Below are 26,080 nucleotides of genomic sequence, written 5' to 3'. Positions count from 1 at the left end.
GAAAAGTGTTAAATAAGCCAACTGATCCTGAGGATTATTCAAAGATGTAATTCCAGGTTATGTCAGAGTGTCAGTGTGGATTCAACTTAATCACCTACATTTCCAACATTAATAGGATTATTCTGTAGAAACTGATGCCAAGAGAAATGATCCTGAGTTCTGTACTAATAATAGCTACAACATATTGACATATTTTGTGCCAAGAAGTGTGCTAAGCCTATCATTATTTATATTTAATTCGCCCAGAAATCCTAAAAGGTAGGTGTGATTGTTCCTTTTTTACAGGTAAAGAATCTGGCCAGGCATGGTGGCTCATGCCTGTAATCCCAGCATTTTGGGAGACCAAAGCGGGCGGATCACGAGGTTAGGAGTTCAAGACCAGCCTGGCCACCATGGTGAAACTCTATCTCTATTAAAAATACAAAAATTAGGCCGGGCGCGGTGGCTCATGCCTATAGTCCCAGCACTTTGGGAGGCCGAGGTGGGCGGATCACCTGAGGTCAGGAGTTCGAGACCAGCCTGGCCAACATGACAAAACCCTGTCTCTACTAAAAAGTACAAATATTAGCCAGGCATGGCAGTGGGGGCCTGTAATCCCAGCTACTCAGGAGGCTGAGGCAGGAGAATTGCTTGAACTCAGGAGGCAGAGGATGCAGTGAGCCGAGATTGCACCACTGCACTCTAGCCTGGGTGACAAGAGTGAGACTCCACCTCAAAAAAAAAAAAAAAAAATCAGCTGCATGTGGTGGCACGCGTCTGTAATCCCAGCTACCTGGGAGGCTGAGGCAGGAGAATTGCTTGAACCCGGGAGGCAGAGGTTGCAGTGAGCTGAGATCCCACCATTGCATTCCAGTCTGGGCGACAGAGCAAGAAAAAAAAAAAAAGAATTTTAGGTTTAGTAATGTGCTCAAGCATGGGCTTTGAAATTAGAAAGACAACTGACAAGTAGTAGAACCCAAATCTAAGCCCTCATGTTGATATTTCTAAAAAAAAAAAAAAAAAAAAAATCCAAGCCCTGATCTTTCTAATTTCAAACCCATGCTTTTAACCACTGTGCTCTCTATAAGTTTCCAAAGTAAGTTTTTGAGTTAGCAGGGTTTTACTATAGTTTTTTGAGACAGTGTTGCTCTGTTGCCCAGGTTGGAGTGCAGTGGCACGATCTCGGCTCACTGCAGCCTCTGCCTCCTGGGTTCAAGCGATTCTTGTGTCTCAGCCTCCCGAGTAGCTGGGATTACAGATTATAGGAACGCGCCACCAGGCCTGGCTAATTTTTTTTGTATTTTTAGTAGAGATAGGGTTTCACTGTGTTGCCCAGGCTGGTCTCGAACTCCTGAGCTCAGGCAGTCTGCCCGCCTAGGCCTCCCAAAGTGCTAGGATTATAGGCGTGAGCCACCATGCCTGGCCAGTTTTACTAAGTTTTAATGTTAGATGTGTTAGATTGATTCTTTAAATTTGCCAACCATATGTAGCTAGCAGTTCATAAGAATTCATTCAAATATCATTTTTTCAACATATTTTGAATACATATGTAGCTTATTCCTGCTATGAGCCAGGAATAAGAATGTCTAATTGACATGGAGATCTTATTTCAAAACTCTTTTTTTTAGACAGGCTGACTGCAGCCTCGAACTCCTAAGCTCAAACGATCCTCTCACCTCAGCCTCCCAAGTACCTGCAGAGACTACCATGCCCGGCTAATTTTTAAATTTTTTTTTAGAGAGATAGGGGTCTCAGTATGTTGCCTGGGCTGGTCTTGAACTTCTGGGCTCAAGCAATCCTCCCACTTTGACTTCCCAGTGCTGAGACTATAGGTGTGAGCCAATACACCTAGCCTGTCAAAATTCTTATAGATAATCAGAATTTGCCATCAACAATCATTATCTGAATGATAAATTCTTTCTCTTATGAGACAGAGGTCCAGACTGGCAATTTTTTTTTTTTTTTTTTTTTTTTTTTTGAGGCAGAATCTCACTCTGTCTCCCAGGCTGAAGTGCAGTGGTGTGATCTTGGCTCACTGCAACCTCTGCCTCCCAGGTTCAAGCAATTCTCATGCCTCAGCCTCCTGAGTAGCTGGGATTACAGGCACACACTACCACGCCTGGCTAATTTTTGTATTTTTAGTAGAGACAGGGTTTCGCCATGTTGGTCAGGCCGGTCTCAAACTCCCAACCTCAGGTGATCACCACCCCCACCATCTCGGCCTGCCAAAGTGCTGGGATTACAGGCTTGAGCCACCATGCCCGGCCTCAATTTTTTTTTTTTTTTTTTAAGTGAGGTGCTAGAAGACTGTTACCAGAACTTGGGAGTCACTCCTTTTTCAAAAAATACACAAAACCCAGTGGTTTTAGAAGATCTGGAGGGCATCCCTGCCCATCTCATGAGATCCTCAGCATTGCAGGCAGGGAAAAGGGGTTGGAGAGCCTGGCACTGCCCCTGTCCACAGCTGTCTCCTTTCCTAAACTAAGTCTCTGATGCGAACTCTACTCCTGACCTCCATCATCCGTGTGTGAAATGCCTTGTTTTCATGTTGACTCTTCAGTGCTGGGTGCTGAATTAGCATCCTGTGTTTGTTTTAGCTTCTTATACAGGGACCAAGTCTGGAATGTAATTAATTGAGCCCTTATTTGAAATAAATGTGTTCTGGGTGTTCAGAGACCTAAAAAGATGTGAGAAAAAAAAAAGAAAGAAAAGAAAAAAAAAATAAACTGCACTTGGCTGGGTGTGGTGGCTCATGCCTATAATCCCAGCACTTTGGGAGGCCGAGGTAGGAAGATCACTTGAGCCCAGGAGTTTGAGACCAGCCTGGGCAAAATGGCAAGACCCTGTCTCTACAAAAATTAAAAAAAATTAGCCAGGTGTGTTTGTGTTTGTATGCGTCTGTCATCTCAGCTACGGAGGCTAAGGTGGGAGGATTGCTTGAGTCCGAGAGTTTGAGGCTGCAGTGAGCTATGATCATGCCACTGTACTCCAGCCTGAGTGACAGAGTGAGACCCTGTCACACACACACACACACACACACACACAAAAGAAAAGGAAAGAAACTGCACGTCTTCAAACAGAACTATGTTCTCTAATGGAGGAGTGAAAAGAAGTAGGGATTTGGAAAGAGAGCACCTAACTTTGAATTTCAGCTAACCATTTATTAAACATATGTCTTTGGGCAGATGTTTGTACCTCAGTTTTCCAATAATATTTAACTTATAAGGATGTAGGGGCAATTAAATACTGTGCATGCTAGTATTATGTAAGTTTTAAAACAAAAATTATTATAAATTAATGGAGCCTACTGATTTTGATAGGAAAATCTATAAATTCCTTGAGTATCAGTGAACACATACCGTTTTTTTTTTTTTCTTTTGGTGGGGTGGGGGAGGGTCAGGGCCTTGCTTTGTTGCTCTGTTGCCCAGGCTGGAGTGGTGCAGTGGCGTGTTTATAGCTCACTGCAGCCTCAAACTCCTGGACTCAAGTGATCCTCCCACCTCAGCCTCTGGAGTAGCTGGGACTAGAGGTATATGCTACCATGTCTGGCTAACTTTTTTTTTTTTTTAAGCACCAGGTCTTGCTATGTTGTCCAGGCTGGTCTTTAACCCAGGTCTCAAGCTATCCTCCCACCTCTGTCTCCCAAAGTGCTGGGATTACAGGCATGAGCCTGGCCCACAACGTTTATTCTAATGTTTATTTCCATAAAATTTCAAGAACAGTTGAAAAAGTTAGTTTGATGTCTTTAAACATGTTATAATATATAATAGTATACAATAACATTTGTAATATGAGAATGTACAATGCTATTATTTAAACAAAAAGCTGAATAAAAACAGATGTAAATCCTTGTCAGCTTAATCACATAAATAATCAGCCTATTGCATAGAGATTGCCTTGTTTCACTATAATCTTTGGATGTAGTTTCCATTCATTGCATATTTTCAGATATTACTTCTGACTATCCTTTTCTTCCATGCTGGAGAAGCTACTTCTTTTTCTTTGGATATTATTTGTATGTGTTCCAACTAACCAAGTATTTGGACTGATGAAGAGTTGTTATATATTTTTCAGAGGATAAGACCCAATAAAAATACACCTAACAAAAAGTATATATGATTATTTTAAAAACAAACAAAACCCACAGAAAATAACAAGTGTTGGTGAGGATGAGGACATGGAGGCACTGGAACCCTTGTAAAGTGTTAGTGGGAATGTAAAATGGTGCAGCTGCTATGGAAAATGGCATACAGAGCTCTTAAAAAATTTAAAATAGAATTACCATATGAGAAGCCACATTCAGTGGTGTATGCCTATAGTCCCAGGTATTCCAGAGGCTGAGGCAGAAGGATCATCCGAGCCCAGAAGTTTGAGGCCAGCCTGAGCAACATGACAAGACCTTATCTCAAATAAAACAAAACCAAACCCAATAACTTTTTTTCATGTCTCTTGAATTTGCTTTTTCAAGATAGGCACCACTGGGGAAATATCCAGAGAGTGGGGCAATCACAGTTTTAGTCTTTGATACTTTGAGACACTGTAAAGTGATATGATGATTCAGCTTTGCTGTCATCCCAACTATTTTCCAGAGAGTATTAATGTTGGACCACCTTGTGGATTATGCAAGACTGTCAGTGTTGCCTTTGGCACTAACAGAAAAGAGTGAGTCAAGAATATATATTGCAAGGTAGAAATGGTCAAGATGTGGAGTTTCTTGTATGTGATACTTTTCTATTTTGTTTTATAAGAAAAAACTAGCTATTTCATTAGGAAATTACAGTTTGCATATTTAGAATTTTCATTAGTAGTGATTTTAAGTGTTACTGTTGTTAAAACGGTGAGTTTGTTAGTTTAGAAACGGTTCATCTAACAGCTAACAACTTAGATTTAAATAATTAAGTTTGGCTGGGCGTGGTGATTCACACCTGTAATCCCAGCACTTTGGGAGGCTGAGGCAGGCAGATCACCCGAGGTCTGGAGTTTGAGACAAGCCTGGCCAACATGGTGAAACCCTGTCTCTGCTAAAAATACAAAAATTAGCCAGGTGTGGTGGCACACGCCTGTAGTCCCAGGTACTCGGGAGGCTGAGGTGGGAGAATCTCTAAACCTGGGAGGTGGAGGTTGCAGTCAGCTGAGATTGCACCACTGCACTCCAACCTGGGCAACAGAGTGAGACTCCATCTCAAAATAAAATAAAATGATGTAAAATAAGTAAGTTTAATATGAATGGAGAGGGATATCTAGGAGTATATTTCAGAATCTTTTTTTTTTAACTACTCCAAATATCTATGCACAAAATTCAAGTCAACTGTGCAAGAAAAGTCAAAGAAGTTTCTTTTTGTTTTGTTTTGTTTTTAGAGACAGGTCTCACTATGCTGCCCAGGCTGGAGTGCAGTGGTTATTCACAGGTACCATCATAGCACACTATAGTCTTCAACTCCTGGCTAAAGTGGTTCTCCTGCCTCAGCCTCCTGAGTAGCTGTGACTACAAGTGCCCACTGTGCCCAGCCAAAGCAGTTTCTTGGTATTTCAGGAGTTCTTGTATAAATGTTAATTTTCAGCCAAAAACTCAAGTTTGCTACAACTATACTCAATTAATGTTCTTTGTTTTATTTGTAGTCAAAGCAAGGACACAACATCAGAGGGACGGCAGAGAATCCTTGTGTGTAGATCTTTGGTGGTGAGTACCTGGGAAAAGTCACCTAAGTCAAGATGTCAGCATAAAAAGCATTTTATTTTGAGCCTGAAAAGTGGAATGAGCCATCTATCTAAGTGCTTACATGGCATAATGTGATTAGTAGAAAGGTTTTTTTGTGACTCTCTTACTCTGTTGCCCAGGCTGGAGTGCAGTGGTGTGATAACAGATCACTGCAGCCTCAACCTCCTCGGCTCAAGTGATCCTCCCACCTCAGCCTCCTGAGTAGGTGGGACTACCAGTGCACGCCACCATACGTGGCTAATTTTTAAATTTTTTGTAGAGACAGGATCTCACTATGTTGCTGAATTCCTGGGCTCAAGTGATCCTTCCGCCTAAGCTTTCCAAAGTGCAGGGGTTATAGCATAAACCATGGCACCCAGCTGACATTTTGATAGATGTATACATTGTGGAATAATTAAATCAAGCTAATTAATATATTTGTCACCTCACATTCTTATTTTGGGGGTAAGAACATTTGAAATTTACTCTCAACAATTTTGAAATTATAATACATTATTAACCATAGTCACCAAGCTGTACAATAGATCTGTCTCCATTCTTCCCTTTACATTTATGATTTGCTCTGTCTAGAAACTGAATAAGTATCACAAGGAGGAAAATTGAGTGGTTAACAAACATACATGAAACCACGTTCAACTTTACTTTCCCACCTTTAAGGCAACTTATAAACAAAAATTGTAATAGTATAGTAATGCAAGGGATATATAGCAGCTAAGAGAAATGAACTAAATCTACATATACACAACACAGATGGGTTTTAAAATCATTGTAATTATTACAGGCATGAGCCACGATGCCCGGCTGTAATATTTTATTTCTTATAGGAAAGATAACAAATTTGTCAAAATGTTAACAATGATCAGCCAGACGTGTTCGCTCACACCTGTAATCCCAGCACTTTGGGAGGCCAAGGCGGGTGGATCACGAGGTCAGGAGATCGAGACCATCCTGCTAACACGGTGAAACCCCGTCTCTACTAAAAATAAAAAAAAAATTAGCTGGGCGTGGTGGCGGGCGCCTGTGGTCCCAGCTACTCAGGAGGCTGAGGCAGGAGAATGGCGTGAACCCGGGAGGCGGAGCTTGCAGTGAGCCGAGATCGCGCCACTGCACTCCAGCCTCGGTGACAGAGCGAGACTCCATCTCAAAAAAAACAGAAAAACCAAAAAAAACATACTGTTGAATGAAAAGCAAGTTACAGATTATGTACTGCTTATGTAACGTTTTTATTTATTTGTTTTGTTTTTCTCCTTGGTGGGCATTGGAAAATGGAACATTCTTAAATGGACACATTCATACTAATAGCATCTTCATGTTCTGTCTTTTTAAATGCACACACACAGACACACACATATGCGGAAGAAAGGGACACACTGGAAGGATACACTCTAAATTCCTGAAAGTGGTTACCTCTGAAGAGACTGGGAGAGTAATTGATTTGGACTGGGGTTGAGGGGAGTGCAAGGGGGCTTCAATTGTATCTGTAATTTTTTTTCTTTTTTTCCTGTACTTTCTAGGGGTGACTAATGTAATGTTTTATTTCTTTTTTTTTTTTTAAATTGAAAACATTTTTTAATGGAGACTGAGGTCTTGCTATATTGCCCAGGCTGGTCTTGAATTCCTGGGCTCAAGCAATCTTCCTGCCTCGGGCTCCCAAAGTCCTGGGATTACAGCCATGAGCCATGATGCCCGGCTGTAATATTTTATTTCTTATAGGAAAGACAAAAAATTTGTCAAAATGTTAACAATGATCAGTTTTGGATGTTGACTCATGAGTGTTTGTTATATTCTTTGCATTTTTCTGTCTTTTGAAGATTTCTTATAAATAAGATTTGTTCTCTCCTGTGAAGATTAATTTTCTACTTTGTGCCTGGATTTGGTATGTTGTGCACATTTCGGCCCACACAATAGTAATAAATGAGTCTTGGAACAAAACGTAAGCAATCCTCTGCAAGCCTGCATGATACATTCTCACTAAGCCAGCCTAAAAATAACAGAAGAGTAAAAGTATTATTAGACAGAGGGACCCTCATTTGACCTTTCGGCCATTTGGATTGTCCATTCAGTTAATCTTGTCACAATCATGTAATTATGAGGTTGGTTTGAGCTTAATGAACCAATATATACAATGAAAATATGCTGTCACCAGAACTGTGCCACACAAAGGCCTTGGGACATAATACTTTTCTTGTGTTTGTACATGAGATTTCCCAAAGATAACAAAACCTTTTACCAAATATGCTTTTCAGACCTATTACCCTTTCTAACGAATATTCCTCTTCCCCACGTCAAGTCGGCATCTCCCAAAATATGTCGATGCTGTCCCTTTGCCACATAAATACCCAAATGCTGCCTGATACCCCCGCAGGCTACATTTGACAGTACAATACCTGCAAAGGCAGTGGAGCTGCAGAGTGCTATTGAAAAGACCATTATAATCTCCTCTGAAAGAGTCTCAAACTGAAATGCCAGTTAGTAAAACATATAGGAAAGAGAAAAACAACCAGGCAAGTATATAAGTGTACTCAGCAGCACTCAAAATTCCAGCTGAGTTGAACCTGGAGGTATTTTTAAAAAGTTGAATGTCTGGAGAACTAGTTTAGGAAACTTACTTTGTCTTTTTTAATTTAAAAAAAAGTTAAAAAAGATATATACACTTCACTCCCTAAAAAAAAAAAAAGAAAAGAAAAAGTGAGTAGGAAGTAGGGGATGTGTACATTAATGAGGGCTTCCTTCCTTTCTCTCACTTGGGGAGTTAGTCAAAGACCCTTTAAGACTTGTTTACTTTTCCTTCTCTAGAAGGAAATAGCCAGCGTTTTCCAGCAATGATAATAGCAGTATGGACATCATTTTTAAAAACTCTAGCAGTATACTATTATAAGACCAAAATAAGAGCAATATAGTAAAGCATTATACATTATTTCTACTCCTGTATCTGACTCTTTCTCTTTCAGCTAGCTTTAGTCAGCAGGCTTATTTGCTCCAGCCTAGGGGGTTTGATTTATTTACTCTATGTGAACAGGTCTGACTATGGAAACCCCTTCCTCATGTCAGAACCTTTGGCTTCCAGGTGGAGATTCATTCATGCCGTTTACACCACATACTTGCTCCCTGCCTGGACAAATTGGTCCCGGTTCCCTCAGGTCAGATGTATTCTGATGACTCCCAAGTCCTGAGCTGCATAACACTCAGAACCTTTGCATCAGTCTCTCATTGAGCCCTAGAGGTGCATCTCTCTTCATGGTTGTTGCAAACATTACTAATTGCCTCAACCTCTTAACTGTGGGTACCCATCTCTAGAATGAAACCATCCCTTAATTTGATGTTTATTGAATACCTGTCAGATGCTGCCATTCTGCTAGGAGCTAGGAATATAGTGCTGATTAAGATAGCCATGGCCCCTGCCTTCATGGTGCTTATAGTGTACTGTGGAGCTTACACAGGGAGCCTGCTTTAAGGAAGGATCAGGTTTCTTCACTAATGAGACCTGTACATAGATGGTACTGGATGAGTGTGTGTGTATATGTTTGTTAGTGGGTGGGAAGCAAGACAGGAAGCAAGGAAACCAGAACTATCAACATTGTTTAGGTTAGAGATGATGGTATTTTGACCAGGGTTGTAGCAGCAATGGAAATAGTGAGAAGTGATCATTTGAGGGTAAACAGGACTGACTGGCAGACTGGTTGTGGGGTTAAAGAGACAGAGATAAATCAATGATGACCCATAATGTGTTTGACCTGAGCTACTGGGTGAACAGCAGGGCTATTTACAGAGATGAGGATAGACAGAATGTGTGTGCAAGAATCAAGAGTTGAGTTTTTTTCATTGTTACATTTGATTTTCCAGTTGAAAAATCAAGTGGCGATATTGAGAAGTCACAAATACATGACTTTGAAGTTCAAGGTTAGAGATAAAATTTTGAGATCATCAATGTGTAATCCATTTAAAGAAATGGGTCTTGTATTAGTCCATTCTGGACTGGCCGTGTGTGGTGGCTCACACTTTAATCCCAGCACTTTGGGAGGCCAAGATGGGAGGATTCACTCAAGGCCAGGAGTTTGAGACTAGCCTGGTCAATGTAGTGAGACCCCATCTCTCTAAAAAAATAAAGAAATACCTGATACTGGGTAATTTATAAGAAAAGAGGTTTAATTGGCTCATGGTTCTATAGGCTGTATAGGAAGCATAAAGCTGGCATCTACTTCTCGGGGAGGCCTCAGGAAGCTGCCAATCTTGGCAGAAGGTGAAGGAGGAGCAGGTGTTTCACATGGTGGAAGCAGGAGCAAGAGAGTGAGGGGAGAGATGCTGCACACTTTTAGATGATTAGATCTCGCAAGAACTCACTATCTTGAGGACAATACCAAGGGTATGATACTAAACCATTCATGAGAAATTCGCCTTCATGATCCAATCACCTCCCACTAGGCTCCACTTCCAACATTGGGGATTACAATTGAACATGAGATTTGGATGAGGACGCAGATTCAAGCTAGATGAGTCTGGATGATAACACCTTCAGAGAGAGTGTCTCAGCTGGGCGCGGTGGCTCATGCCTGTAATCCCAGCACTTTGGGAGGCTGAGGTGGGCAGATCACAAGGTCAGGAGATCGAGACCATCCTGGCTAACATGGTGAAACCCCTTCTCTACTAAAAAAACAAAAAATTAGCCAGGTGTGGTGGTACATACCTGTAGTCCCAGCTACTCGGGAGGCTGAGGCAGGAGAATCTCTTGAACCCAGGAGGCGGAAGTTGCAGTGAGCCGAGTTTGTGCCACTGCACTCCAGCCTGGGCGACAGAACGAGACTCCGTCTCAAAGGACAGAGAGTGTCTCAACAGAGAAGAGGACCAAGGACATTGCCTTGGGACAAGCCAACATTTAGATCCTGGGAGCAGAAAGAAAAGCCAGCGGAGGTGACTTAGAAGGAACAGCCAGTGTGATGGGAGGGAAACCATTAGTACATCTTATCCCTGCAGCCAAATGCAGTGTCTCAAAGAGGATGAAGTAATCTCTTGCGTAAACTAAGAGCAGTTAGGTAAGATGAAAACTGAGTATCAGTCACTGGTCTTGCCACAAGGTGACCTTGACAAGTGATCTGATTGGATCTGATTGAGGAGGAGCTGTGGATGAAGAAGTGTGGGCAACAAAGGAAGACATCTCTTTTGAGGAGTTAGTGCAAAGGGAGTAGAGAAATAGGGGTAAGGTGGATAGATGGGGTCAAGTAAGATTTTTAAAGACAAGAAATATTCTAGTATGTTTGTAAGTTGATGAGAATGATCCAGGAAAGAAAGAAATCTGAGGCTGCAATTGCAAGAGGGAATTACTACAGGATGAAAGTCATTGAGTCATTGAAGGAATGACTCCAGGGCACAGATGGAGGAAGCAAGGCCAGTTCATCCAGGGTAACGAGAGAAAGCAGAGCAGAGAAGACGCATAGATAAAATCGGCAGATGTGGTGGGAAGACAAAGATACTTTCTTCTGAGGGCTCTGATATTCTCAGTAAAATAAGAAACAAGGTCATCTGCTGAGTTCAAAGAGGGAGAAGAAGGTATTGAAGACTTGAGAAGAAATAAAATCAACCTCCTGTAGAGTGATCCACCCACTTTGGCCTCCCAAAGTGCTGGGATTACAGGTGTGAGCCACCGCGCCTGGCCAAAGGAAGTTTTTTTTTTTTTTTAAGGAAGTTTTAATTAAAAATTTTATATTATTTTTCTCAAATGTTAACAATGTATTATAAACCAAAAATAAAATTTTAAATCCTCCAACTGACTGAACGCTTTTTGAAGAGAAACATTCTTAGAAACCTTTGGGAAAACATTTCCTACTTTGAAAAACATGGACTATAAGCAAATAATGTCTTTTATTATGAGAAAGTCTTTTGGTTCTTAATTATCCTTGTCAGGAAAAAAAAAACAGGATAAAAGATTGCTTTTTAAGATTGTCACTAAAATAAAAAATACAACATAAAAACAAATTTCTATTTAACTCATTCCTGAATCTTAAAGAATGTGTTACAAGTTGGGCTGGGCACAGTGGCTCACACCTGTAATCCCAGCACTTTGAGGCCGAGATGGGCAGATCACTTGAGGTCAGGAGTTCAAGACCAGCCTGGCCAACATGGTGAAACCCTGCTCTACAGAAAATACAACAATTAACCGGGCATGGTGGTACGTGCCTGTAATCCCAGCCACTTGAGAGCTGAGGCACAAGAATTGCTTGAACCCGGGAGGTGAAGGTTGTAGTGGGCCGAGATCACGCCACTGTACTGTAGCCTGGCGACAGAGCAAAACTCTGTCTCAAAAAAAAAAATAGTTACAAGTTAAGAAACTCTTCTTTCTCCTTAGACAACATGTTAAAAGAAACTCAAGAAATGTTACAGCAGGTAATTTTATGACAAATATGTGGATATGCCCATTTTCAAAATATGTTAGAAAATACATTTTATAAACCCAAACTTACAACACGGCCTTCCACAAAATAAGTGCTCAATAAAGGGTAATAATAACAGACCCAATAATAACAGCAATAATTTTTAAATTTAGATATTTTTAGAAGTAGACTTTCAGCATTTCTTCTACTTGTTGAAATGAAGTCAATGAGGTTGTTTTCTTTAGTGTGTTAACTGAGTATCAAGAGGCACTAGGAAGGAAATGTTTGATCAGTTGGCTTTAGGAATAAAGCATTTCCCTGAAGCTACCTTGGTTAATATTTGCAAGTATTGTGAACTTTTTGGATGAAATACCACACAGATGCAACTCAAAACGAATAGTAATACACATATATAGTTCTTTCAGCTCTAAACTGGTATTACTTTCAAGTAAACTCTGAAATCTCGGGAATAACCATCTCATGGCTCTTGGTAAAAATGATACATGTTCATTACGAAACAATCAAGCACAGATAAGATGATGATCCGAGGATGAGATGGTGCCCTCACTAATTTCTGTTCAATGTTCAAGGTATAACCCTGAACAGAGAGGGTTCAGGGAGACCCTCATTTGACTAAAGGACTCACAATGCAACTTCAGTTCAGTTTTAAAAAATAAGAAAGTTATGTTTCTGGCACACTTTCATTTTGGGCTGAGATTCAAAACATTTACAGGCATTAATATATGTTCCGGGTGCCCCTTGTCTTTTTTTGTCCCCCTGAGCACAAAATAACATTACATAATTCATGATTCTTTTTTTCTCTTCTCTAGACCAAAACCCAGTAAACAGAAAACAGATAAACAAAAGAGGTGGGGCTAGTTCTCTGCAGAGTGTTGTGGAGGTGGGGCTGAGGATGGAGTTTTCCTTCTGGAATCCCAGCCCTGCTGTTGGGAGAGCAAGGTCCTGCCACATACCCTAAGGAGCTAAGACCACAGGGATCTCAGGGGGTTTTACTGTCACTTTGAAATGGTGTGAGGTTTCCTGCTTCATCAGAATCCCTGCTGAGGGGGAAATTGAAGGTGTACTGTGGAAACCTCCATTGGGGGCTTCTGCACAGTCACAGGAAATGGTGAGTTTGCAGGAACTTGCGGTTACTGTGAGAAAATTTGCTTTGGATTTTTATGTCCAAAATCTCTGTGGAATTCCCCAGATCTGAAGCCAGTGCCTGCTTTGGACTCTGCTCTGCATACAGGTTCATCTGATTGTATTTTTTCTCATTAATTGAAATTTGCCAGCTGCAATTTTATCAGCGAAAACCAAATTCTAATCTCGTAGATAGATATAGAAAATGTGGCTTTAAATTATGGCCTTAGGTTATGATGAAATAAAACACCAACGAGTATGAACTGGGTCTTTATGAGCGAATCTGAAAAATAAAGTAGTAAATCTGTCTGTGATAATAGGTTAACAGAGCAGAAAATAAGGGCAGATACTGTAGTTTGTAGATCAGCATCCTGTCACAACAATTTTGGAACATTTGGTTCATGTTCTGTCACACATTCTTAAGAGTAGTTGTGCAATTGCCTCCAAGCTGTTGGCTGTATTAGACAAACTTTAAATTAGTGAAAGGAATCTATTTTTATGTGGTGGTGGTGGGGTAATAGTTCTTCTAAACAAACTTTCATTTTTATCTTTTGAAAGTTTTTAAAGAATCGAGTTTTTTTTTTTTTTCTTTGAGACAGATCTCAGTTCTGTTGCCCAGGCTGGAGTACAGTGGCACGATCACGGCTCACTGCAGCCTCAACCTACCGGGCTCAAGTGATCCTCCCACCTCAGCCTCCCAAGTAGCTGGGACTACAGGCACATACCCTCACGCCTAGCTAATTTTTGTATTTTTTGTAGAGACTGGGTTTCACCACATTGCCTAGGCTGGTCTCGAAATCCTGGGCTCAAGTGATTCACCTCGGCCTCCCAAGTACTGGGATTACAGGCCTGAGCCACTGTACTTAGCCTTTGAAGTAAACTTAAAAAAAAAAAAAAGAGAGACCAGGCTCAGTGACTCACACCTGTAATCCCAGCACTTTGGGAGGCCGAGGCAGCTGGATCACAGAGCTCGAGACCAGCCTGGCCAACATGGTGAAACCCCATCTCTACTAAAAATACAAAAATTAGCCAGGCGTGGTGGTAGGCACCTGTATTCCCAGCTACTTAGGAGGTGGAGGCAGGAAAATCGCTTGAACTCAGGAGGCAGAGGTTGCAGTGAACCAAGACTGCACCACTGCACTCTAGCCTGGGTGACAGTGCAAGACTCCGTTTCAAAAAAAAAAAAGGAAATATGAGACTCTCTTTTTATGAGTAGAAGGTGTCTTTCACCTGTAGCACAAAGTGGAGGTTCAGAGCATGAACGGATTCTGTAGCCAGGCCACCTGACTCTGCCACTTGCTGGTTGTGTGACCTTGGGCAAGTTACATAACCTCTCTGTGCATCATTTCCTAATCTGTAAAATGAGGATAATAGCTGGGCACAGTAGCTCATGCCTGTAATCCCAGCACCTTGGGAGGCTGAGGCAGGTGGATCACGAGGTCAGGAGTTTGAGACCAGCCTGGCCAATATGGTGAAACCTTGTCTCTACTAAAAATACAAAAATTAGCAGGGCGTGGTGGCGTGTGCCTTTAGTCCCAGCTACTCGGGAAGCTGAGGCAGAAGAATCACTTGAACCCAGGAGGTGGAGGTTGCAGTGAGCCAAGATGGCGCCACTGCACTCCGGCCTGGGCAACAAGACGGAAACTGTGTCTCAAAAAAAAAAAAAAAAAAAAAAAAAAAGATTATAGAGAAACAACCAAATGATTTTTCTAATGATAAAGTCTTTTAGACTTTATCTGATTAAAGAAAGTCTGATTAGCAGACTGTGAACTGCTAATCAACAGAATCTGGAGACATGCCACTAAATCTGAGTCACTGTCAACATGTGAGTCCACACCTACAGGAGGGGTGGTTCCTTGTATGAAAAACAGCCTCAGTAAATCACTGAAACTCTGCTGGCAAACATTTTTAATGCAAGTAATGCACCTCAATTTCACCCCCCTGCTTACAATCCTGTTTGAAACAATTCCAAACAAATGACCAAGAAACCACTTTGGACCAAAAGAAAGCTGGTATCTTACAGTAACAAATACTGTAGCTTGAATGCAGTTCTCCATGAGAAATTAGTGAAAGGGAGCATCCATTCCCTTAGAAATCAGTTAATATTGCCATTAATAAGAGGTTGGGCAACTGGGCACGGCAGCTCACGCCTGTAATCCCAACACTGTGGGAGGCCAAGGTGGGTGGATCACTTGAGGTCAGGAGTTATGGCAAAACCCTGTCTCTACTGAAAATACAAATATCAACCAGGCATGGTGGTGGGTGCTGGTAATCCCAGCTACTTGAGAGGCTGAGGCATGAGAATCACTTGAACCTGGGAGGTGGGGGTGGGGGTTGCAGTGAGCTGAGATCGCGCTGCTGCACTCTAGTCTGGGCAACAAGAGGGAAACTCCGTCTCAAAAAAGAAAGAAAGAAAGAAAAGAGGTAGGGGAACCCTTTTTTATAGAGCTTTGCTCAGGAACCAAAAATTCAAGTTTATTTTAAACCTTTCGTCTATGCTTGAGGTATCTGGATTTCTGCTTTTAATATCATATTGTAAAGATTTAAAGAGAAAACATCTCTGTAGACATTGTTAATTTTGTAAATACTGATGTAATTTCTTGTGTTTTTCCATATCATCTACTGAAACTAAATAGCTCAGAATTAAAAAAAAGAGCCCTTTTATTTTGCCAGTCTATAAAGCTTCTGATGACAGGTAGAAGAACCTGGTGGTTAAGGACTTAGGTTTTGAGGTCGGTGGATGTGAGATTGAATCGTGGACAGGTTTTGAGGTCGGTGGATGTGAGATTGAATCGTGGACAAGATCTCAGTTTGTATAAAGGCATGTATATCGGCCTCATTTATACATATTCTTAGAGGGCTGTGAGAAGTAAATGTGTTTATATGTATAGAATTTAGTACCCATGGCCAGGCGCAGTGGCTCATGCCTGTAATCTCAGCAGTTTGGGAGGCCAAGGCGGGTGGATCACTTGAGGTCAGGAGTTCGAGAGCAGCCTGGCCAACATGGTATGAAACCCCGTCTCTACTAAAAATACAAAAATTAGCCAGGCATGGTGGTGCGTGCTTGTCAATCCCAGCTACTCAGGAGGCTGAGGCAGGAGAATTGCTTGAGCCCAGGAGGCAGAGGTTGCAGTGAGCTGAGATTGCGCCACTGCACTCCAGCCTCGGCAGCAGAGCGAGACTCTGTCTCAAAACAAAAACAAACAAACAAAAAAGAATTCAGTACCCACGCTGGCTCAGATGTTGATGGTTACTGTTGTGAATCTGGCTCTACGGGGACCAGTCACTTCATCACTCTTTAAAGACAAGACACTCCTAAATTATCTACCAGGCCATTTTATTTAGAAGGCCTTAACATGATTGATACATTTAATTTAATTTTATTTTTTTGAGACAGAGTGTTGCTCTTGTCCAGGCTAGAGTGCAATGGCACCATCTCAGCTCACTGCAACCTCTGCCTCCTGGGTTCAAACGATTCTCTTGCCTCAGCCTCCCAAGTAGCTGGGATTACAGGTGCCCGCCACCATGCCTGGCTAATTTTTGTATTTTAGTTGAGATGGGGTTTCACCATGTTGGTCAGGCTGGTCTAGAACTCCTGACCTCAAGTGATCCACCCACCTCGGCTTCCCAAATTGCTGAGATTATAGGCATGAGCCACCTCACCTGGCCGATGCATTTAAATGTGGGATTAAATATTCACACCTAGTTCAAGTGTTCACATCTGTACTTGAAACTAAAACTTGTTAACAAGGCATAAATACTGTATTAGTCTGTTTTCATGCTGCTGATAAAGACATACCCGAGACTGGGCAATTTACAAAGGAAAGGTTTATTGGACTTACAGTTCCACATGGCTGGGGAGACCTCACAATCATGGCAGAAGGTAAGGAGGAGCAAGTCACATATCACGTGGATGGCAGCAGGCAGAGAGAGCTGGTACACGGAGACTCCTGTTTTTAAAGCCATCAGATCTCGTGAGACTTATTCACTATCATGAGAACAGCACAGGAAAAACTCATCCCCAAGATTCAATTACCTCCCATTGGGTTCCTCCTAGGACACATGGGGATTGTGGGACTTACAATTCGAGATGAGATTTGGGTGGGGACACAGCCAAACCATATCAAATACTGTTTAATTTGAGTCTAGGAGAAATCTTAAGGCCTTAAACTTAGACTTTATAAAAGCAGAGGCTAGCTCCATCTGGACTGTTTATTCCTTCAGAATATTATGCCTACTTGTATTCCCAATGCCTGACTCAGGGCTCTCCCATAGTCAGTGCTCAATGAATATTGGTAAGGAAAAAAATGGTTCAGTGAGGAGATTTTTGCAGTAATTCAGGTGACTGATGACATTTGACCTTTGTGAATGAATCTCCAATTCTGCAATTGGGTGGATTCTCTGCCTATAGGTACAAGAGGAAGAGGACGAGAAATATTTCCTGTTCTCTCAATAACTTTCCAAATAACATGTCATAAGAAGCCTCCTCATTCTACTCTCCAACATATTAAAAGCCTAGGATTGAGCCAGGTGCAGCGGCTAACGCCTCTAATCCCAGCACTTTGGGAGGCCAAGGCAGGCGAATCTCTTGAGCTCAGGAGTTTGAGACCAGCCTGGGCAACTAAGTGAGACCCCCGCCCTGCCAACCCCCTCTACAAAAAATACAAAAAGTTAGCTGGGCGTGGTGGCATTTGTCAGTAATCCCAGCTACTCAGGAGGCTGAGGTGGGAGAATCGCTTGAGCCTGAGAAGCGGAGGTTGTAGCGAGCTGAGATTGAGATTGTGCCACTGCACTCCAGCCTGGGCGACAGGGCGAGACTCCATCTCAAAAAAAAAAAAAAAAAAAAAAAAAAAGGCATAGGTCCATAGCCCTTTAGAACTGGAAGAAGCCTTCTAGGCCAAGCCCTTCATTTGAACTGAGCCTTGACGGGTATTAGCCGTTAGCCATTTGTGGAAGGTCGCACAGTAGTCAGGACTGGAAGTCTGGTCTTTGAAACCTGTCAGTCCACGGTCATTTCACCTGCCTGTTTGTAAAACAATGTCCTGTTACTTAAGTATACTTTTTAATAAGAAAAACTGGGTGTAAGCAAGAGTATCAGAGTGGTGTTCTGGTGCCAGCAGTTCAACTTCTGCAGCGTGTACTTCACAGGCACAGGTACTTAGGACGTCGCACAGGCACAGGTACTTAGGACGTTGCCCCGCCGAGACTGTCGTTCATATCGCGCCCACCTCCGGGTAACGCCGGTAATGCTGACCTAGCTCCATTATTTGTATTAATTTATTTAGCTAGCAGGGGGAACGGCTGGGTAATGCAGTCTCAGCTGCTGGAGGGGAAGAGGCAAGACTCCGCCGGCGCCCACCATCAGAGCGTGACAACAAGCGGGACCGGAGGTTGGGAAAAAGCACAGGGACAGAATGAATGTGTGCATGGGGGAGCTCTGCTGGGGAGAGGGCAAGAGGCTGTGATCAGATTATCTGAGGTTTCAGAACTTTTATATAAAGACCAAGGAACCAAATGAAAATCCAACTCTTCCAGGGAGCCCTGGAAAGTTCAAAGGACCTCGTTTGAGGGAGCGAGTCCCCGCAGCTCGTGCCCACGTCTCCCTCGCGCTTCCCCCAGGACAGGGGCCGCCCCAACCCGGGCACGCTGAGCCCGGCCGCGCCCCTAGCCCCTTCTCTCTCGGCCTCCTCGTCCCGAAGGGAAGCACAGGCTCGAGCAGCATTCGGGGCTCATCCATCAGCCGCGGAGGCAAAGGGGGAGGAGAGAGGAGGCGGGAGGCGGGAGGCGGGAGGAGGAGTTTCTGGGCGGCCGAGAGCCCCCGGTGGGGCCGGCGGAGGAGCGCCCTTCCCCCCGCGCGCTGATTGCTGTGGCGTCCTGCCCGTCCCCGCCCGCGTGTGTGCGAGGGAGGGCGAGTGCGCCGGGTCGGCCTGATGGGGGTAATCGAGGGTTTCGGGGACGCCGAGCGGCACTTTCCTCTTCCCAGCGAGTGAAGGAGGGCAGTCGGCGGCTCTCGCGCCCCGGCCACTTTCCCTGCGCGATTCCCGGAGCTCCCTGCAGGAGGTGAGAGTCCCCAGCGGGTCCGGATGGCGTAGTTTTGCCGCGGCGCAGCAGCTGCCGGAGCTCGCCGCCGCCGAGCGCTGGGCGGGGAAACTTGCCGCCGCTTTCCTCCAACTTGCTGCGGGTGGATCTCCGCTGGACACACCGCCTCCGAGGTACGTGCCGGCCCAGCCCCGCGGCGCTGCAGCCCGCCCGGGCTGTGGGCTCTGCAGGCTGCGCGGGTGCCCGTCGGCGCGGCGCGGGCTGCCAGTGCCTACTTACCGGCCAGGGTCGCTCCAGCCGCCAGGACCTCCGGCCTTGGGAGGGAGGCGCTGGTGGGGCGGTGTTTACCCTCCGGGGAGCAGGCACCGGTGGCCAGCGGTGCGTGGGCAGCGGCCGCACGGGGCAGGCAGTGCCCCCGGCGATGCGCAGTGCTGGGGAGGAATTCTCCACGCCCGCCCTCACTCTTCCTCTCCGCGGGTCCTTCTGACCCCTGCGGGGCGCGGCGGCCACTTCCCTCCGGGCGCGTGACAGCTTCGGTGGGAATGGTTTGTTGTGGGTTCGCAGTCAATTGCCGTGGCCCAGGCTGTGGCTCCCGGACTCGTGCACGGACGCGGTTTGCGTTCCCCGCTGGCCGCGCCCTCAGGGTGCCTTGCGGGCTGAGCCGCAAGCTGCAGCTCGGCCCCCCCCCGCCCCGGTTTATTTTGAAGGCTCTCTTCTTGTATTCATTTGGTTAGGACAAACTTGGAAATCTTGGACTGTCGCTAGAAGAATCTGCTTGCAGACTTGATCTTATTAGGGCATTTGCCCCGCTTTGCAGAATCGCATAGTGTCAGGAGCCGACGTGTCAAGCATGAATTACCTTGGCAAAGTAGAACTTAGTGGATTTGGTGTCCTCACGAAAAGCTGGAAGAAGAAAACCGTTCCATTTCCCTAGCTGTGAAGTGAGGATAGTAGTACTTGCCCCGTAAAGTTGCTGTGAGCATCTAATGATTTAATGTGTGTGAGGTGCTACAACAGTGCTTGGCACCGAGTAAGCACCGCACGGAGGTTAGCGCTGCTTGCCGCTAGCCCTGCGGTGGCAGGATAGGAGCGGCGAGGGCAGAGGATAGTAGGAGTGACAGGCTGTGCTGGGGAACCAGGCGTATTCTGAGTTTTATGTCCTTCCGAAGAAGTGAGCGGTTTGGGAGAAGTCTCCACAGGTAGTAAAAACACACGTCAAGACCGTTTCTTCTTCCTGAATGCAGAGTGCAAACAGTTACTTCAGTGTGAACTCAGTTGTTTCTTTTGGATAATAATAACAGCTAACGTTTTCTAAGCCCATACTGTGTGCACTTAATCCTCACAGCATCTCTATGGGAAAAGCACTATTAATAACCCTATTTTACAGATAAGACACTAGAGGTTAAGTTACTTGTCCAAGATCATACATAACTTTCTGTTAGTTCTGACTCCAAAGCTACCTTCCTTCCTCAGCGGAGAGCGGCAAGTGCAGGCCGATTTGTGTGTACATAGATTTGTGTGCATAGTCCATGCATCTTCTCCCATCTTTCAGCTTTCTATTTGAGCTGAACGCATATCTCTTGAAACACACATAAGGTATCTGTGATGAATTTAGGCGATTTTACATACTTATGAGGGTGCCCAATTAAAGTTCCTCTGAAACTGGCCCCAAATAATTATAAATAGAACTCTGACTTGTATTAATTAACATGGAAATTTTTTTTTTTTTTTGGTGACAGAGTCTCGCTCTGTCCCCAGGCTGCAGTGCAGTGGTGCGATCTCGGCTCACTGCAACCTCCACCTCCCGGGTTCAAGAGTTTCTCCTGACTCAGCCTCCAGAGTAGCTGGGACTACAGGCGCGCGCTACCACGCCCAGCTAACTTTTGTATTTTTAGTAGAGACGGCGTTTCACCATGTTGGCCAGGATGGTCTCGATTTCTTGACCTCGTGATCCACCTGCCTCGGCCTCCCAAAGTGCTGGGATTACAGGTGTGAGCCACCACGCCTGGCCAACATGGATCTTTATTCTTAATTTCTTTTATTAATTCTCCAGACATTGTTGATCACCATTACTTGGCTTCCTTAGGAAACAGCTTGGGGTTGGCACAGGAGGCAGGGAAATAATTCTTACCCCCTTAAGGGCTATTAACATGAAATTGATTTCATGCCATTGTGTCAGTTAAAGGATGTTGCTCTATTTCTTGCTGTTCTTTGCTTTTGGCTTTATTTCTGCATTGTTTAGTGTTTCAAGGCTTGAGCGTTTTTTTTTTTTGGCCCTTCAGTTTGACATTTGTCAACTTTAATTTTTCCTGTTTTGATGGAATCTGACCGTTACACGGCAGCTTTGCCTAACAACTGTTGATTCAGCTCATGTTTTTAAATATAAAAATCACCAACATAGTTTTGAATCCCAGCACTTCAAAGGCAACCCGTGGGGAGTTCATTGTTATTTTGAATATTAGTCAATAGGGGGAGCATAACACACTGTTGATATCTATAAGGCGCATAAACCCGTTTTTAGAGTATTAAACATATAGTTTGAAAGGGGAGGGCAAAATATCTAGCAAAATAACTAAGTTGCTTTTGGAGTTTATAATGGAGGACTAGATTTAATTTGAACTGATTAAGAATGACCTTGAGGACAGGGCCTGTATGTTGAATATATGTCAAGAACTCCATGGTGGCTGGACAGATAGATAAACACACATATAGTTTTTTTTCAATTTGTTTCCTTAAGTGGTGTGTAGGCCAGGCACAGTGGCTCACACCTGTAATTCCAACACTTTGGGAGGCTGAGGTAGGAGGATCACTTGGCCAAGGAGTTCGAGACCAGCCTGGGTAACATAGTGAGACCCCCATCTCTTTAAAAAGTGAAGTTTGTATGTAAACTAATTTTGTGTGGTTTGAATAATATTTCAACTTACCTGGGAGAAATGGAAATCCAGAGGAATTTGTTGTGAATCCTTTTGTAATGATCCTCATTTGTGTTTTGTAGAAAACTGAATATAATGAATTTGTTCTCAGGGAGGTTGGTGTGTTCACAATCCTGTCATCATCTTTCATTAACATCTTCTAAGTGCAAGACAATAGGGGATCAGTAATCCTAAATAACAGCAGTTCTATTACTGTGAATTCCTCAGAGGCTTACGTTAATATTCAAGTATAGTAGTAGTTCAGATGTATCATATTTGATACTAGTATAAGTGTGATGTGTCTATGAATACTCATACTTGTAAACATAAACAATAAGAATATGCTTGAAAAAATCACACTTGACATTTATCTATTTATTTATTTATTTTTTGAGATGGAGTCTCTCGCTCTGTCGCCCGGGCGGGAGTGCAGTGGTGCAATCTCAGCTCACTGCAAGCTCCACCTCCCAGGTTCACGCCATTCTCCTGCCTCAGCCTCCCCAGCAGCTGTAACTACAGGCACTCGCCACCATGCCCGGCTAATTTTTTTGTATTTTTAGTAGAGACGGGGTTTCACCGTGTTAGCCAGGAAGGTCTCGATCTCCTGACCTTGTGATCCGCCTACCTCAGCCTCCCAAAGTGCTGGGATTACAGGCGTGAGCCACGGTGCCTGGCCAAACTTGACTTTTAAAAAAAGTTTTTGGCTGGGTGTGGTGGCTCACGCCTGTAATCCCAGCATGTTGGGAGGCCGAGGCAGGTGGATCACTTGAGGTCAGGAGTTCGAGACCAGCCTGGCCAACATGGCGAAACCTGATCTCTACAGAAAATACAACAATTTGCTGAGCGTGGTGGTGCACACCTGTAATCACAGCTACTCCAGAGGCTGAGGTGGGAGGATCCCTTGAGCCCAGGAGGTGGAGGTTTCAGTGAGCTGAGATCGTGCCACTGCACGCCAGCCTGGCAGACAGCGAGGTTCTGTCTCAAAAAAAAAAAAAAAAAAGGTTTTCAATTTTTGTCTGTAGTTTTGTAGGCCAGTTTCCTTTCTTGTTTCTTGCGTATTATGTAGTATTTTTTTATTATTTATTTATTTATTTATTTTTGAGACAAAGTTTCGCTCTGTCGTCCAGGCTGGAGTGCAGTGGAGTGATCTTGGCTCACTGCAACCTCCGCCTCCCAGGTTCAAGAGATTCTCCTGCCTCAGCCTCCCGAGTAGCGGGGACCACAGGTGCATGCCACCACGCCCGACTAATTTTTTATATTTTTCGTAGAGACGGGGCTTCACTGTGTTAGCCCCGATGGTCTTGATCTCCTGACCTCATGATCCACCCGCCTCGGCCTCCCAAAGTGCTGGGATTATAGGCGTGAGCGACTGTGCCCGGCCCCATATTATGTAGTATTGATTTACCTTTATTTCATTTACTACGTTAGGGTCCCATGGATCCTATTTTAAAATAACTTTCAAAATTAGTTGAGTCCCTTCTTTTTAAATCTTAGCATTGCGCTTATACTACAGAGTGGCATTTATTTAGGATCTCATTTAGTCTTCTATGCTTTGCTCTAGTTTACTCGAGTAATTCAACAAACACTTATAACCTCCTACTCCCTACTAGGCTATGGTTTCTGGTCTTGGAGCTTGGCAAATTAATTGTCCTTATTCAGTGCTCTGATGACTGGGGGCCAAAATGCCTTCAGGTTGCTTAGGGCTTTCTTACAGAAAGCCTTTCGTTGGCTTGAAGGAAAGTGTTGTTCCATTGTTTTTAAGACTCAAAAGAATTAATTTTTCTCTCTTGCATGCAAACTTGGTTGTGACTTGTAAAAGTCAGGTGAGTGCTTGTTTTTCTGAGGGCAGAATCTGAGCCTAAGAGCCCAGGGAACTCAACTGTCCTTTGAGTTTTAAGAAGGTGATCACTGCTGACTTCTTTAGTATATAAGTGAAGACCAATTTCCTGGCTTCAAAAATCTGTGAAAGGTCCTGACTTTACATTTTAAGCTTAACAGACAGAACAGTTAGAGTTTAGACTGTGACTGTGTAAGTAATAACTTTGCTGTAATATTTTGCCTGGATGATTCTGCTCTGTGGTCATTTTGAATTACCTCCCTTCTTGATAGTTCATTTTGAAACATCTTTTTGTGGTGCTTTCATTGCTGTTGGATAAAAATTGTAATTGTCAGATTTATTTTTTATTTTTATTTATATACTTATTCATATAAAATATGTAAATATATGTAAAATCTCACATATATATAATCTATAACTATATATTGTATAATATATAATATGTATATATTTTGAGACAGAGTCTTACTATGTTGCCTCGGCTGGTCTCGAACTCCTGGGCTCAAGTGATCCTCCTGCCTCATCTTCTCAAATTGTTGGGATTACAGGCATGAGCCACTGCTCCTGGCTGTCAGATTTATTAGCTACTAAAGGACAGTCTTCTTTTTCAGTCTTAACAGTTACTTAAAAGTGATTTTATTGCCATTTCCATCAGTCTACTGGAGCATTTTTCTTATATTTTTATTTTTATTTTTATTTTTTTTGGGACGGAGTCTCGCTCTGTCACCCAGGGTGGAGTGCAGTGGCGCGATCTCGGCTCACTGCAAGCTCCGCCTCCCTGGTTCACGCCATTCTCTTGCCTCAGTCTCCCGAGTAGCTGAGACTACAGGCGCCCGCCACCACGCCCAGCTAATTTTTGTATTTTTAGTAGAGACAGGGTTTCACCGTGTTAGCTAGGATGGTCTCAATCTCCTGACCTCGTGATCCGCCGTCTTGGCCTCCCAACGTGCTGGGATTACAGGTGTGAGCCATCGCGCCCGGCCATATTTTTAAACTTATTTAAAACAATTGTAAATTTAAAAAATGTTAACTTTTTTGAAATTTGCATAACTTGAGTTAGATAAATGTTTTTAGGGGCCTTTAATGTAAAAGCAGTCTTGTATTGCCACTAGGAATATAAGCAATTTGGAATTTAAGAGTGAATCTAGGTTATATGAAAAGCTAACCTTAAACACATAATAGTGAGCCTTCAGCAGATTGAGTGAGGGCATTTCTGTAGGAAGAAAATTAAGTGTACCAAGAGCCATAGCAGTAACTTCTCTGGTTCTGCATCTTCAGAGTAACACTTGGAATGATAGCATTGTTTCTTTGCAGCATGTCATAAAACACAAGCTGTTGCTAATTTGTTCAGTGTCTAGTCAAGCTGAAATAAATCAACACAGCTTGGAAGGGCCTTACAAGAAGGATCTGGGTTCATTTCCTGGGCTCTGTCCAGGAAATATAGAAATATAATAAATAAATCTAGGAATATAAAATTTCTAGATTTCTTATTTTATATCTTTTGAAATAGCACATTTGTTTGTTAACTGACATTGAGCTTTATTTTCTCTGCTTGCAAAGTCCTTGCTTAAGAATCAGCACAAATTTCCAAGCATTCTTCCTCCCCACTTGAATAATGATTTTGATGTCTTGCTCTCTCAACCAAAATGTGTTTTTGAAACAACATTGATATAAATTCTGCATGAGGCTACTGTCATTTGGAACTTATTCTTCATTTTTTATTCTTCAGTTTTTCAGGCCAAAGATGAAGACTTAATAGGCTGACAACTGCTTATGAGGGATAGAGACCATATTTAAAATGGAAGGTCTAGAACAAGAGCCCCAGAACCATGCCTTCAGGCCATCCTAATGTGCCCTGCTGAAGATAATTTTTTGGTGTCGGGGGGCAGGGCAGGGAGCCTAATGTCTGGTTTTTGTGGTGGTGGTTCTTTTATGTTGAAATCTTCTTCCATCCTGGGAAGAGGATTCAGTTATATGTAGAGCCTAGCAAAGTTGATTTTTAGAATTAGATTTTAATGGTTATTTTTTTTTTTGAGACAGAGTCTTGCTCTGTTGCTTAGGCTGGAGTGCAGTGGTGTGATCTTGG

General features: G+C 43.3%; 1 protein-coding gene across 7 annotated transcripts in view, besides 7 other annotated features; it reads left to right on the top strand.

Annotated features, from left to right (window-relative positions):
* Window positions 1-26,080, top strand: part of TGFBR3 (transforming growth factor beta receptor 3) — a 225,660-nt gene that overhangs the window by 707 nt on the left and 198,873 nt on the right. For 3 of the 7 annotated variants that reach the window (NR_036634.2, NM_001195683.2, NM_003243.5), the window contains exon 1: window positions 19,145-19,418. The gene's annotated coding sequence lies outside the window, so the exon portion shown is untranslated. Of the gene's footprint in view, window positions 1-5,598; window positions 5,660-19,144; window positions 19,419-26,080 lie in introns of those variants that run through there. The other 4 variants (NM_001195684.1, XM_047429247.1, XM_047429256.1 and 1 more) reach the window with 2 other exon arrangements.
* Window positions 10,463-10,963: an enhancer, noted in NCBI's record as "H3K4me1 hESC enhancer chr1:92359890-92360390 (GRCh37/hg19 assembly coordinates)". NCBI's record gives its function as "activates a minimal SCP1, AML or CMV promoter by ChIP-STARR-seq in naive H9 embryonic stem cells {active_cell/tissue: H9 hESC(naive)}" and the evidence as "EXISTENCE:reporter gene assay evidence [ECO:0000049][PMID:30033119]".
* Window positions 18,811-19,573: an enhancer, noted in NCBI's record as "H3K27ac-H3K4me1 hESC enhancer chr1:92351280-92352042 (GRCh37/hg19 assembly coordinates)". NCBI's record gives its function as "activates a minimal SCP1, AML or CMV promoter by ChIP-STARR-seq in naive H9 embryonic stem cells {active_cell/tissue: H9 hESC(naive)}" and the evidence as "EXISTENCE:reporter gene assay evidence [ECO:0000049][PMID:30033119]".
* Window positions 18,811-20,337: a biological region, named in NCBI's record as "H3K27ac-H3K4me1 hESC enhancers GRCh37_chr1:92350516-92351279 and GRCh37_chr1:92351280-92352042".
* Window positions 18,879-19,018: a silencer, noted in NCBI's record as "silent region_1069". NCBI's record gives its function as "represses an Ori minimal core promoter by ATAC-STARR-seq in GM12878 lymphoblastoid cells {active_cell/tissue: GM12878}" and the evidence as "EXISTENCE:reporter gene assay evidence [ECO:0000049][PMID:35858748]".
* Window positions 19,369-19,448: a silencer, noted in NCBI's record as "silent region_1068". NCBI's record gives its function as "represses an Ori minimal core promoter by ATAC-STARR-seq in GM12878 lymphoblastoid cells {active_cell/tissue: GM12878}" and the evidence as "EXISTENCE:reporter gene assay evidence [ECO:0000049][PMID:35858748]".
* Window positions 19,459-19,668: a silencer, noted in NCBI's record as "silent region_1067". NCBI's record gives its function as "represses an Ori minimal core promoter by ATAC-STARR-seq in GM12878 lymphoblastoid cells {active_cell/tissue: GM12878}" and the evidence as "EXISTENCE:reporter gene assay evidence [ECO:0000049][PMID:35858748]".
* Window positions 19,574-20,337: an enhancer, noted in NCBI's record as "H3K27ac-H3K4me1 hESC enhancer chr1:92350516-92351279 (GRCh37/hg19 assembly coordinates)". NCBI's record gives its function as "activates a minimal SCP1, AML or CMV promoter by ChIP-STARR-seq in naive H9 embryonic stem cells {active_cell/tissue: H9 hESC(naive)}" and the evidence as "EXISTENCE:reporter gene assay evidence [ECO:0000049][PMID:30033119]".

This window comes from Homo sapiens, chromosome 1, assembly GCF_000001405.40.
Source record: "Homo sapiens chromosome 1, GRCh38.p14 Primary Assembly".
NCBI classification, from domain to species: Eukaryota; Metazoa; Chordata; class Mammalia; order Primates; family Hominidae; genus Homo; species Homo sapiens.
This window is presented reverse-complemented; position numbering and strand designations above follow the sequence as displayed.